A 12,717-nucleotide genomic window follows, 5' to 3' on the forward strand; every position below is an offset into this window, starting at 1 on the left:
GATTACTTGAGCCCAGGAGGTGGAAGTTGCAGTGAGCTGAGATAGCGTCACTGCACTCCAGCCTGGGCAACAGAGCAAGACTCTGTACCAAAACCAAAAACAAAACAAAACAAATATATATATATATATATATATATATATATACACACATACATACATACATACACACACACACACACACACACACACACACACACAGAAGATTCCATAGTTTTGTGATAAGATAAAAATAAAAGCTTATATATACATACATGCATATACTCACATGTGCATTGGTATATATGTATACATGTGCACATTCACACATATAGTTATACACACACATACCTGGCTTTAAGCTGTATGTCTAAATTTTAATGAAATGAAGGGTTAAAAACCCAAGAAAGTGGTTTCCAATCTGTCTTGGGGAAGGGGAAGAAAAAGAGTCACACAGTTATTTAATGCAAAGTGTTTGTAAATCTCCCCTCAAATAACACCTGTGGTCTGAGTGAGATGTATGTGTATCTGTGTGTGTGTATGTTTTTGAAGCATAGTGGTGAAGTGCTTAGAATTCTGCAGCCAGTTACCTGGGTTTAAATCCCAGCTCTGCCACTTTCTAACTAGGTGACCTTGGGCAAGTTACTTAACTTCTCTGTGCCTCAATTTTGCCAACTGTAAAATGGAGCTAATAGTAGTACCTTCTTCTTAGAGTTGTTGTAGAAATAAATAAAGCTAAATGGAGCAGCACCCAGCATATAGGGAGTACTCTATAAGTGTTAGTTCATATTATTATGTAAATTCTATTGTGATTGATAAAATACAAATTCATTTTAAAGTGTCACTGAGTTCTCATAGCAGCTTTTGACCATTATGTTTATTAACTCATTTAATATAATTTACGTTAATAATAAAGGCACAACTACTCTCTGTGGGGTCTCACACAATTTTGATGTTAAAAATGGATCTTTATTCTGAAAAAGGTTGGGAAGCACTGGTCAAGGGCTGAATCCCTGGGAAATTGCCCACAATGGCAACTGCAATCTGGTTATCATTTGGTCAGGGGTGCATCTAGGTTTCTAGAGCCTGTCACTGTGCTGGGCTGTTTCTTTAACAGGATATCAGATATAGAGGCTCCTGTGGACTGTTAGGTGATTAATCGTATTTCTATTTTTCATATCTAAGAGCACCAGGAAGATGCATTTGTGGCAGATTTCATAGCAATACCCGACAAGTTTCACTTTCAAGATCTTAAAGATACCTTTCTGGACCTACTGTGCAAGGCAAGGAGACATGCTCATTAAATCCAAGCCCCCAAAAGTCAAAACGAAAAAAGACCCTAAAAGAGGGATTCCTCCTGAAGCTGCTAAGTGACAACTAGGAAGGAAAAAAAAAACAAAAAACTTTCTCCTTTTGAGCCCCCACTACATTGTGAATAGAACTGAGGCCCTCCATTCTGCTTCATCTAATCCATTTTCTCCTGTGTTTTGGTATTTAAGAAACATTTTAGTCAATGCAACCTGGTGATAAAATGGCCAGATGTGTGAAATCACTTTCCATTACACATTCTGATAACGTAATTGGGCCGTAACTTTCAAGACAGGAAACGAGGAAAGGAGATTCTGAACAAATCCATAAAGCAAACAGTGGGAGAGCCTGCTTGTGGGGACATCTGAGCCTCACTGGATTAAAATAGCTGCAGGTCTCTTCATCAGTAAATAACCAGATGCTCCAGGTCAATCTCTGAACTCAGAAGCCAGGAGTTTGGGCTTGCACAGCCAGAAAACAGAGCTGATGTTTCACCAGAAAGCCACCGTGTTCATCATTTCATCACAGTAAGGCCAATGAGAGAGAAGACGTTTGAGGTTTGAGGTGGCCCAAGTTCTGAGGTTTTTGACTTTTCTTTACCAAAGTCCTGGGTGAATACTAGAAAGTCAGTCCTGGGTCACACACATTTCACAGACTCCCAGTGACCAGCACTGTCCGGCCGAGGTAAAGCAAGAACTTGGGGGATGGAGAAGTGCTGTCACCTTCTGGTGAGAGTATCTCAGCCTACAAGGGCAGTACATTCAGCCTCATCTTCCCATCCAACTGTAATAAAATGTGGTTGATGACTAAAAATGCAGATTTCTGGATCGCATGCTGTAAGGGCCTAGGAATCTGCATTTCAACAGAGTCAGCAGGATGACTGTTACGCACACTGAAATGTAAGACCACTACCATAGGACTTAACTCCAGGTGGCAAAAAGTAACCATAAAGATACAGCTTTGCTTCACACTGTATGCATCACCAGTAATGATAAAAAGGGTAGTAACAGCAGCAGCAGCAGCTAACACTTAGAGTAGCTGCCGTGTATACAAACAGTTGCAAGTGCTTTATAGTCAACTCTTAATTGTCACATCAACCCTATGATAGGTACTATTATTATCCCCATTCTACAGGCAAGGAAGCCAGGCACAGAGAGGTTAAGTATCTTGCCCAAGGTCTCACAGCTAGTAGGTGGCAGAGGTGGAATTTGAACTTGGACTGTCTGGTTTCAGAGTCTTCACATTTGAGAGACTGACCATAGACCTGGATGCCCAGAAAGACCCAACCTCTCTGTTGAAACCTGGAAGTGTTAAGTACTTGAAATTTCTGCAAAGTGGGTCAATATTTAGGAGTCACAGGCACTGAAGAAGAGTTTGGATGAATATTCCCAGACTTCTGAGGCAAAGTGGCAAATGCTGGGGACAACTCATCCAGACAGCAAAGGTCCTGTGAGTGCTGCTGTGCAGGGGAGTGAGGCCTGGGAGCCAAGCTACAAAAATGGGTGTCCCTCATGCAAGGCGCCACTGTTTCCCCATGCTCTAGAAACAGCCGTACTGCCTGAGCCTCGGAGCCTCGGCAGGTGCAGTCACTGGACTGCAAGGCCGAGGCAGCCTGCACTCAGTGCACACTGGCCAACAGACCTGCAGGGCAGCCACTGCCTCTTCTTTCTAGACACTGGAAAAACAGGAAAGCACAATGCAAATGAAATTCACATATAGTCTCATTAACCAGAGATCATTAATGTGAACACTATATGCCCTGTATTTTTGCATCTGTGTATATAGTTTATAAGTTCGAGTTACATCATCCAATTTTATATACTACTTTTTCTATGTATATATCATGTGTATTTTCCCAATCTTTAAACATTCCTCATCAACATGATTTTAAAGGGCTACATAGTAGCCTATCTGTCTACCTGTTCCATAACTATTTTCCTCTTGTTGACATTGGCTACTTTTCACTCTACTGGATAATAACCTAACATCTGATTGTTCTGTAAAACAGATCCCTAAGTACGATAGTTGGGTCACAGGGCATATACAATTTTTAAGTTTTCACTTACTAATACTAAGGAATTCGGTTCGCTATTAATGTTAAGCTATTTCTCAGGAGGTTATGTCCATATTCACATCCATTAGTTTTGTCATTTGCCTTGCCTCTTTTGAAGATGGTAGATGCGCTATTAACTGAGCTCCACTTAAACCAAGGCCCTGATTTACCTAACCCCATACTCTCCATTTCTTTGCTAAAGCATCTAGACCAATGCCCTCAGCATGCAAAACCTCAGTTGGCTACTCTAGTTTATCAACCTATTTCTGTTCTCAACAGTTAGGCTATATATTTACCAAGAGGCCATTTGCATTTGTTGCCAAACCTGTTTATGTCAGCTGTACTCATTATTGCACTTATGTAACTTAATTACATATTATGTAAATTAATGAAATACCTGTGCATAAGAAAAGAGCTGTTGTTTCTATAAGTAGAGAGTTTTGGAAAAATGAAGACGAACTGCTGCTAAGTTAGGGTGGATAAGACAACTATAAAAGACTAGGAGGGCTGGGCATGGTGGCTCATGCCTGTAAACCCAGCACTTTGGGACGCTGAGGCGGGTGGATCATTTGAGGTCAGGAGTTTGAGACCAGCCTGGCCTACACGGCGAAACCCTGTCTCCACTAAAAATACAAAAATTAGCTGGGCGTGGTAGCCGGTGCCTGTAATCCCAGCTACTGGGGAGGCTGAGGCAGGAGAATCGCTTGAATCTGGGAGGCAGAGGTTGCAGTGAGCCAAGATTGCACCATTGCACGCTAGCCTGGGTGACAAGAGCAAAACTCCATCTCAAAACAAACAAACAAAAAACTAGGGAGGTGAAGGGGGGGAATGTTATAGGTCTAGAAAGATTTATGGCACTTACTCTGCAAGTGTCTAAGCTCTTATTTATGAATAAATCAAATCTGGAAATTATAGAAGAAGTGATATGGGTGTAATTCATGCAAGTAAAGTGATGCAGAATGCCAATATATGAATCTATTAATAACTAAAACAAGAGTCATGAAATGGTACCTGTCCTTCCTCCATGTGATGCACTCTGAAATTCTCTAAACTATTCAATTCCACTTTTAAAAATGTTGATTATGACCCGTAAAGTGATTCTGCAACTCAGTTTGAAAAGACATTGACTTCATTCCACTCCTTCATTTTATTGATGGCAGAACGGAGGTTCAAGAAGATTTAAGAGGTCTGTTAAGGTGTTGCAGCCAGTGAGTCAGAATTACGATTCTGGACTGCATATCCTGTGTTCTGTCTACTACCCTGAGCAGCTTTTGCTCAAAAAGCACTGACCCAGCACAATTTCCTTTGCAAAAAAAGTAGAAGGTGAAATGAGAATGTGGATGACAAGGATAAATCTTGGAGAGGAAAGGAAGAATCCCTCATTCCCTCCTAATGCTCTTCTAAGCATTCTTTAAAGTAAACACAAATGAGTGTATGTGGTTTTATCCCCAAACTGAGACATACCAAGTGTCTTGTATTATAGACACATATTTGGAGCAGGTGAGCCATGTAGTACCTGGGTAGAAAACATGAGCCTTCTAATTTTAGAATGACTTCAGCTCCATGTGGGAAAACTCTAGACAATGGAACGGGGAAGCAGTTTGCAGTTCTGAAAAGCTTTTGTTAGGCGAGATGAGCAATAACCAGATTGCTTGCTTGCTGGCTGACACACGTTCTACCTGTTTTCCAAACAAGTAAAGCCTTCAAAGGCTTTTCCCTATAATCTCATCTGCCTTCCTTCTGTGCACCCCCAGCTCAAACTTGCCACCTAAACGTATTTAAGCCCAGGGTCACCACTGAGATCTGATCACCATCTCCCTAAGCCAGCTGATAATGGTGACATTCCCCATGAATAATCGCACTGTAAATTTCCATGTTCTTTCATCCTCACCTCTGAGAAGCCTCCCAGACACTAAATTAAGCAAGCCTTCAAACATGCCTTGATTCCAGGTGGGTGTCCCTAGACACAGGCCAGAGGAAGGAGCAGAAGTTCAGAGGTTTAAAGTGCCGCCCTGAGTACCCAGCTCATGCAAGGCAGATAGCAGATGGAAGCCTGGAGGCTGGTTCCCGGGCGCCTGAGTAATGCCCTCACCACACCCCCTTGGTCATTAGAGTGAGTCTCATGGAAATATGAGAACCAGATGGGCAGCCTGGGAACTGTGCAACATTTCTCAGGGTTAAGCAAGTAGCCACCCAACAACTTCTTAACCAGGGTGCATTCTGTCCCTCTTAAGGGGCATTTAAAAGTGTCTTTTGAAGATAGGTCATAACTCCTTCCTGGAGAGGGTGTGACAGGTGTTCTAAGCTATAGGTGCTGCCACCCTCGTCCTGCCTCCAGCTAATGTTTCTCTGCATGCTTTACAAATTGACAACCAACCTGATAAAAATACTCTGTCCCCAACCATGCTATTGATTTCACTCCCATGGCAACTATTTTCTAAATCATGCATTAAGCAGTCAGCCAAGTTTGCCCGTATCATTGTGACACATTCCCCCACGGGTTCCCATGCTGTCTTTTCTCACCTGCATGGGAGGCTCCTTGAGGACAAGGCAGAGAAAGCCTGCTCCTTTGTATAGTTCCAGCAACTAGAATCTTTGAACCTGAATGTAAAAAAGCATCTAGTTCCAAGAAAATCAAATACGTGTCAGTGACACTACCACTTCCCTACCTTGGGCCTATGACAATTAGCATCACCAATGGATCAGTGCAGTACTTCCTAAAACCTGCAGTCAGCCTTATAACCCTCCCCACCCTGGCTCTCCAAGTCATCTCTACCAATCCATCAGTGTGTGGTCATGTGAAAAACCTCACAGGCCACTTCTGATTCAAGTCCAATAGATGAGGAAACAAATCCAAACAGGAACCAGAAAACTAACTTGCCCAGTGACTGGACAAAAAAACTCAAAAAAACCCTCAGAAAACTCAGAAAAAACTGAGACCAAATGGCCCAAAACCCATGATCTCTCACCTCCAGCCTCAGTCACCACATCCCTCTGCTGTCCCACTCAAATTGTCTGAGAAGCGTTTACTAATGACAATGCCAGTTTCCTATGACGCTGGCATCATCTGCCCTTTATATTTGGGGATCTAAGAGAAATGAAGACAGGAAGAAACCAATGAAATGTCAAGAAGAAAGGCCAAGAGCAATGGTCAAGTTATAAGAACACAGAACTTTTTTTTTCCCCAAAATGCACAAGAAAGGCCAGGCGTGGTGACTCATGCTTGTAATCCCAGCACTTTGGGAGGCCAAAGTGGGAGGACTGCTGGAGTCCAGGAATTTGAGACCAGCCTGGGCAACATAGCAAGATCTCATTTCTAAAAATAAAAGAAAAAAAATGCACAAGAAAGCCACATGAGATAAGCCCCATGCTCTTTTGAGCCCATTTAACACCTTTGATTAGCACATGGAGTTTGCAATTTTCTCTCCACAATGTTCCATTAAAGTGTGTCGGCTTCACCCTGAGTACTCCTGTTGCCCTATGCTCTAGTGCTGTCACTCAGGAATGTATCAAAACCTATCTTGCATCCGTTATTATTTCTCATTCCCATCAACTCTTACAGTGAGAAGGCCTGCAAATTTACATCATGGGTAAAGTCCTTATAGCTTTTGTTCTAAAATTACCCATTTTCACACCTAACTGGTGGGGATGGTTTCACACCATTTACATTTTTCTGGATGGTTTGTTTCTGGATTGATTCTGGGATTGAGTAAAGGAGCCCACCAGCATCCAGAGCATTGGGAGTTAGGGGCACTCAGATGTGAAAGTCACTCAGCAGAGACATGAATACATTTTATGAAAACAGTGTTCACCTGAAAAGAAATATAAGTAGAATGCAAGATACAAAAACATGAAAGTAAATGCAAATTAAAACGAAGTAGCACAAAATTAAATACAGCATCATCTACCTTCCATATCTGAGGATCTAACAAAAAGGAATCATCATTGCCTTTCTGGTGCAGTAATGGAATTGTGGTGACGTTTTAAAAGGCTTTATCTGTTACGTATACGCATTGAAGTGTTACGAGTGAAGTGGGCTTTGCTTTAAAATACCCCGGCACAGGGAGAAATTAGAAAGATAGGGAGAATAGATCAAAGAAAAATGACAGAATGATGCTAATTGTCAAAGCTGGGTGATGGGTATACAGGAACTGATTTCACTATCTCTTCTTCTGTGGATGAAGGTTTCTCTAATACAATGTTAACAGAGAGTTTTACTTATTAGTCATGAATACACACACACACACACACACACACACACACACACACACACTTGCTACAATGACGGGCAGTGAGTGTGGCTGGTGGGAGTTGGTCCCCAGTTTGAGCTGCGCCCACCACAGGATTTCAGCCCTGTGCGGTGATGAGAGAGTGGGTGGGATGGGGTGGGAAGGCCTACCAGGGCCTGAGCAGTCCTCTAGGGGACAGGAAGGACACCCTAAAGGAAAGAAAGTTAAGCATAAGCCTGATCTAGTCATAAAGCCCCAGCCTTTGGAGGTGTGACTATAACACGGTCATCACCACTTGGACTTTTCTCCTGGCCCAGCCCTCTCTGGATTCATGTCTGGGTCTCATGGGGCAGGGCCAAGAGTAAATAACTCTGGAAAGAGTAATTTCATTAAATCTCTAAGGCCCTGGGGTGCAAGTTCTGTAGCTCAGTGACCCATCAAACAGAGAGCAACAGAGAGGGCAGACGGGCAGCCACCTCCCTCCTCTGCAGACTGGCAGCCAACCCGGGGGGCTTGAGGCTCTCTGGACTTTAGAAGGTGTGGCACTGCCTCTGCTCTCACAGACCACCTCAGGCCCCCGAGTGGCACTGAGCTGGTTACAGGGTAATATGCAACGCAGCAGGGGTTCAACTGCTGTTTTCTGACCACATGTCACAATGAGGGGAAGTAAACCTCAGAGATGTTCTCATAGAAAGTTCAGGAAGAAAAGATGGAACAGAGGTTGTTCACGACTGCAAAAAGAATAGTCCCCTTCTGGACAAATTTATCAGGTCTGCCCACATCTGCCCAGCAGGGCCTAGGGAACCCCAAAAGGCCTAGGCAGGAGTTATGCCAGGCTCCTGGGGAACAGGCTCCAGGGCGACATCCCTTAGGGTTTTCTTGTCTGTCTGAATGGATGGAGACTTGGAGGAGGGGGTCAAATAACCAAGAGGACCCCCTTCTCTATGCATGGCAGTGTCAGCACTTGCCATCATTGCAACTTGTCACCTGATTCAGTGGAGAACATGGCTCTTGGCCTACCAGGTCTTAGAGTGTGAATCAGGAGGAGCAGGAGGAAGGCTTCACCAGAGAGCCGGGAAACTAGGGATAGAGGCCTGGGGCACAGGACTCCATCTCCCCCTTCTGGCTTAATCTCAAGGCCTTTATACCTCAGTTCTACCCAATTTGGCTTAGAAGAGAACAGGGAGGGTGAGGAAAACACAGGAGGCTTCTTAGCCCATGGAGATGCGTGGAGATCATAGTGACAAGTATCAAAATGAGTGGTAACCCCCAACTGGCCCAGTGTCCAGGTTCTCTCAAATGATACCCAGTGCGTAAGTGTTGCTAGAGTATCAGTACTTTCTAGTGTTTGGGCAGGTCACCAGAGGTCTATCTGTAGGAGGGGCAGAAGGTGAAGCTTGGGGCAAGTGCATTCTAGAAAGGGGGTTGGGGCAATTCTGAGAATGGCATGGTGAAGTTACTAAGCTATCCTCTTTTTCCTCCCTATATGTTCATATCTGAGTCCTTTGTGGATGGGAGGTAATTAAAAAGTGAAAGTACTGCTTTATGGAAACCCTAGTAGACCCTGGACTCCAGATGCACTGTTTTGAGGTGGACACACTTACACCTTTCCACTTCCAGCCCCAACAAAGCACGACACAGAGTGGGACAGGCATTTTCTTCTGTGTCATCATGGACCACCAAGTGGCTTAGGCACCTTAAGGGTCCAAGCGCATCAAGGATAACAGTAGCAAGGGGGACTGGTGGGGCTGCAGGAGCAGTGGTACCCAGTGGGACTGGCAGTGTCGCCTCCAGTGGGTTTGGAGGGAAAGGCCTGAAGGAGGAGAAGAGACCAGGGACACGGTGTGGTTGGCTACAGAATTTATGAATAGGTAAGAAACCCGCCCCCTCCCACTGGAACCTCTCTGAAATAACTATGGAGACACAGCAGGAGGCTAGTGCAGTAACAGATGGGAGCAGAAGTTACTGAAACACACTCTGTGCTAACCAGGGAGTTGTGGGACTGGTGCACTCACACACTGCTGGGAGAAATCAGCACCATTCACTCGGAAAGCTATCTGGCAGTTTGTACCAAGGGTCATAAATCTGTATTTATTCCTGTTTCCGGAGACACATGCTGAGGAAAGAATCCAAAAGGTGGAAAAAGCTTCTAGGCATGAAGAGGTAGCATCATAACTTAAGAAACTAGAGCCACCGTAAATATCCAATGGGAAATGTTTCATTAAATCACCCATGTTCACTTTAATGAGACAGCATGACATTTTAAGAGAAGAGATTTCAAGACTTTCCAGCAACATGGAACAATGCACAGCCCCAACATTTGAGCTTAAAAAGCAGGAATCCACATTGTTTCCTCACCAGGACTACTCGTATAAAAATATTAACACACATGGAGAAAGGGCAAAAGCAACATGCAAATCAAACAGAGGTTGCTCCCCTGCAGTGCTGTGGCCACTGATGGTTTGCCTCCTACATGTCCCAAGCTCTCCACTATTTTGATTTAGAATCTTTAAAATAATAATAAAAAAAAATACCGATTTTTTTTTTTTTTTTACTATAAGTATTAAAACGTAAACCAGAAAATAACTAAACAAAGGTCACCGATGAGGGTTCAGAAATCTGGGTTCTACTTCAGGTGGACTATTACGAGAGTGGGGAAAACAGCTGGCCCCAAGCTCTGGGGTCCTGCAGGCCCTGTTTTGGCACACTTGCCCACAGGAATTGTCTGAACAGCTGAAGAGAGACACGTAGGGGAGGCCCCTGAGGGGGCCAGGAACAGCCCCCCCTTGGGCCTGCAGTTAAGACCTTCCAGTGAGCGCCTCCTCGCCCCTGAGGAGGGGGCAGAGAGGACTCCGGGACAGGCGTGTGCTCGGTGGGCAGGAGGCCAGGGAGGGAGCTCTTGAGGAGCCACACAGCAGCAGGCCCGCTCCCTTCCCACACACGATCCACACACCCACGGCAGCTGCACTCACCACTCAGCGGGGACGTGCTGTTCTCCAAGGCCTGGCACGCAGCCAACACAATACCTGTTGGGTGGAGGAGAAGAGGGAAAAGGTCAGAGTCTGCTTGGCAAATGATGTCCTCAGACGCTTAGAGGGCAGGCCCTTTGACAGGCAAAGGTTCGGTAGTTTCACAGAGTGGCCGGTAGACAGGCTCAGCTACATAATTTGTGGATATCAGTGCAAAATGAGCACATGGGACCCCTTGTTGAAAAAGTAAGAAGAAAATGCCCATGAAAAGCACTGAAATCCAGAGCCTTCCACTTCTTCCCAGTCTCTCTCTCCATCTGTCAGGGTGGTTTTGGCCTTTGTTTTTTCTTAACACCTTATAAATATATATTTTTTTATGGTGGGAAAATATACGTAACATAAAATTTACCATTTCAACCATTTTAATTGTACATTTCAGTGACATTAAGTACCTTCACCCTGTTGTTCATGTCATCATGTTTGTTTGCTATTTATGTCATTGCTGTCCTTTGGGTATGAGGATACCCACAGGTTGAGTGCAGCCTCTCACAGGTATACCCCAGGGACAGAGTGTGTAAGGGAGCAAAGGACCCACTCCCTCTGGGGTTTCCTTCCAGCTGGCAGCCGGGCCAATGTGCTGTGACCCAGCTGGGGGTTGAGGGGTCTAGTCAGGTATCTCTTATTCCCAGGAAGTGGCTGTCCCAACCCAAGATGGATGGGTGACCCCTTAAGGATATTGCCTCCTCCCTGCCAGGATGTACTAGGTACCTGGATCAGGGGGAGTCAAGCAGCTCACCCCTCTCTAGTTGCCCACTGAAGATGCCATGGAGCTGCCAGTCCAGAATGGGGACAGCTGCCACCATGCCGTACCCTGAGATGCCATGTACTTAACCCCAGGCCCTGCCAGGGATAGATCATGGCAGGAGCAAGAAAACCTAGGGGAGGCAGGGAGATATTAATAAGCAGGACCACGGGAACAAAGCCTCTAAGCCCCCAGTGCATACTGTATTGTCCCACTGGACTTCACCTACAAGACGCAAATTTAAAGATAAAACTACAAGATTTTTAAGACTGCAACTGCAGAGTGTTAAACCTCAAGCTCAGGGCCCTTGTGAGCATGGGGTCCTGTGTGACCTATACAGGTTGCATGCCCATAAAACCAGCCCTGCCAACAGATGACCTTTATGTGCCTTCAGATTACAGTACTCGAGGTTTCTGGAAATGGTAGCAACCTTCCAATGAAGAAGGAACCTCTTCTGAGTTATGCAATCAGCATGAGCCACATTAGAATGACTTCCCAAAACTGAAACGCAAAAAGATGCCACAGTTGCTGTGCCGAGGGGCTGGGCCTCTGACAGGTTAGCTCAGAAAGCAAATGAATCAAGTTAGCACAGGAAACAAGCAAAGTTCTGTCTGTTACAGGATCGATGCAGCCCCCTACTCTGCAGGCTGTGAGGGTTCCTTGCCCCTTTTCACTTAGGGTGTAGACACAGAAGTCCTGACTCTCAAAGAACAAAACACACTTGGAATAGATAAAGCAATCATGCTCCCGATGTTCCTTCCAACCTCTGAAATGAGAAACATAAGAACTTCAGACTGCTTTTACTGGAGGTCTGGCATGGACCTCCGAAAGACTTTTACAGAATCCTAAGCCAGATGTTTGGGCTGGAGTTGGAGGCAGGGCAGGGGGACAGGGAGAGAAAATCAGTAAAATCATGCATGTCTTCCCTGTGCAATTCTTTCTTGCTGTCCAATTGATGCTAATTTTGGAAGCAAGGCTCCCAGGGCCCCTCTGTCACCCACACACCAGTGTTAAAACAAGGCATCCCCATCCAAGCCGGGAAAAGTCAGCAGTTGCCCCCTTGAAGCTGGGGAACAGTCATGTTCTGACTTCGCTGGCACTGCCACAAACCATCCTTGGCTAAAGTCAGCCAGTGACTCATAATAGTGTTCAAGGATGACACCGGGGATGCTTTGCATACTCTGAGGGGAAGCGTGACTTGCCTGTCACAAACTGCCCCGAACTAAAGAATTATCTTCATGCCCTGTTCCTGCTCCCTATCCTGTCAGTCAGGGTGAACCCAGTCAGCATGGTTCCTGGGCTCCATGTTGGCCTCTGTTTAAGCAAAACCCAGACAAGAAAGCAAACACTGTACAGCTGAATCCAGGACAAGACACTGAT

The 12,717-nt window shown here is 45.0% G+C and overlaps 1 protein-coding gene across 4 annotated transcripts in view, besides 1 other annotated feature; it reads right to left on the bottom strand.

The window, feature by feature from the left end:
- TGFA (transforming growth factor alpha) overlaps positions 1-12,717 on the bottom strand; it is a 106,543-nt gene that overhangs the window by 57,037 nt on the left and 36,789 nt on the right. For all 4 annotated transcript variants that reach the window (NM_001099691.3, NM_003236.4, NM_001308159.2 and 1 more), the window contains exon 2: positions 10,539-10,592. In NM_001099691.3, coding sequence (NP_001093161.1) covers positions 10,539-10,592 — 54 coding nt within the window. The remainder of the gene's footprint in view (positions 1-10,538; positions 10,593-12,717) is intronic.
- Positions 9,954-10,456: an enhancer, noted in NCBI's record as "H3K4me1 hESC enhancer chr2:70741406-70741908 (GRCh37/hg19 assembly coordinates)". NCBI's record gives its function as "activates a minimal SCP1, AML or CMV promoter by ChIP-STARR-seq in naive H9 embryonic stem cells {active_cell/tissue: H9 hESC(naive)}" and the evidence as "EXISTENCE:reporter gene assay evidence [ECO:0000049][PMID:30033119]".

This window comes from Homo sapiens, chromosome 2 (assembly GCF_000001405.40).
Source record: "Homo sapiens chromosome 2, GRCh38.p14 Primary Assembly".
NCBI lineage: Eukaryota > Metazoa > Chordata > Mammalia > Primates > Hominidae > Homo > Homo sapiens.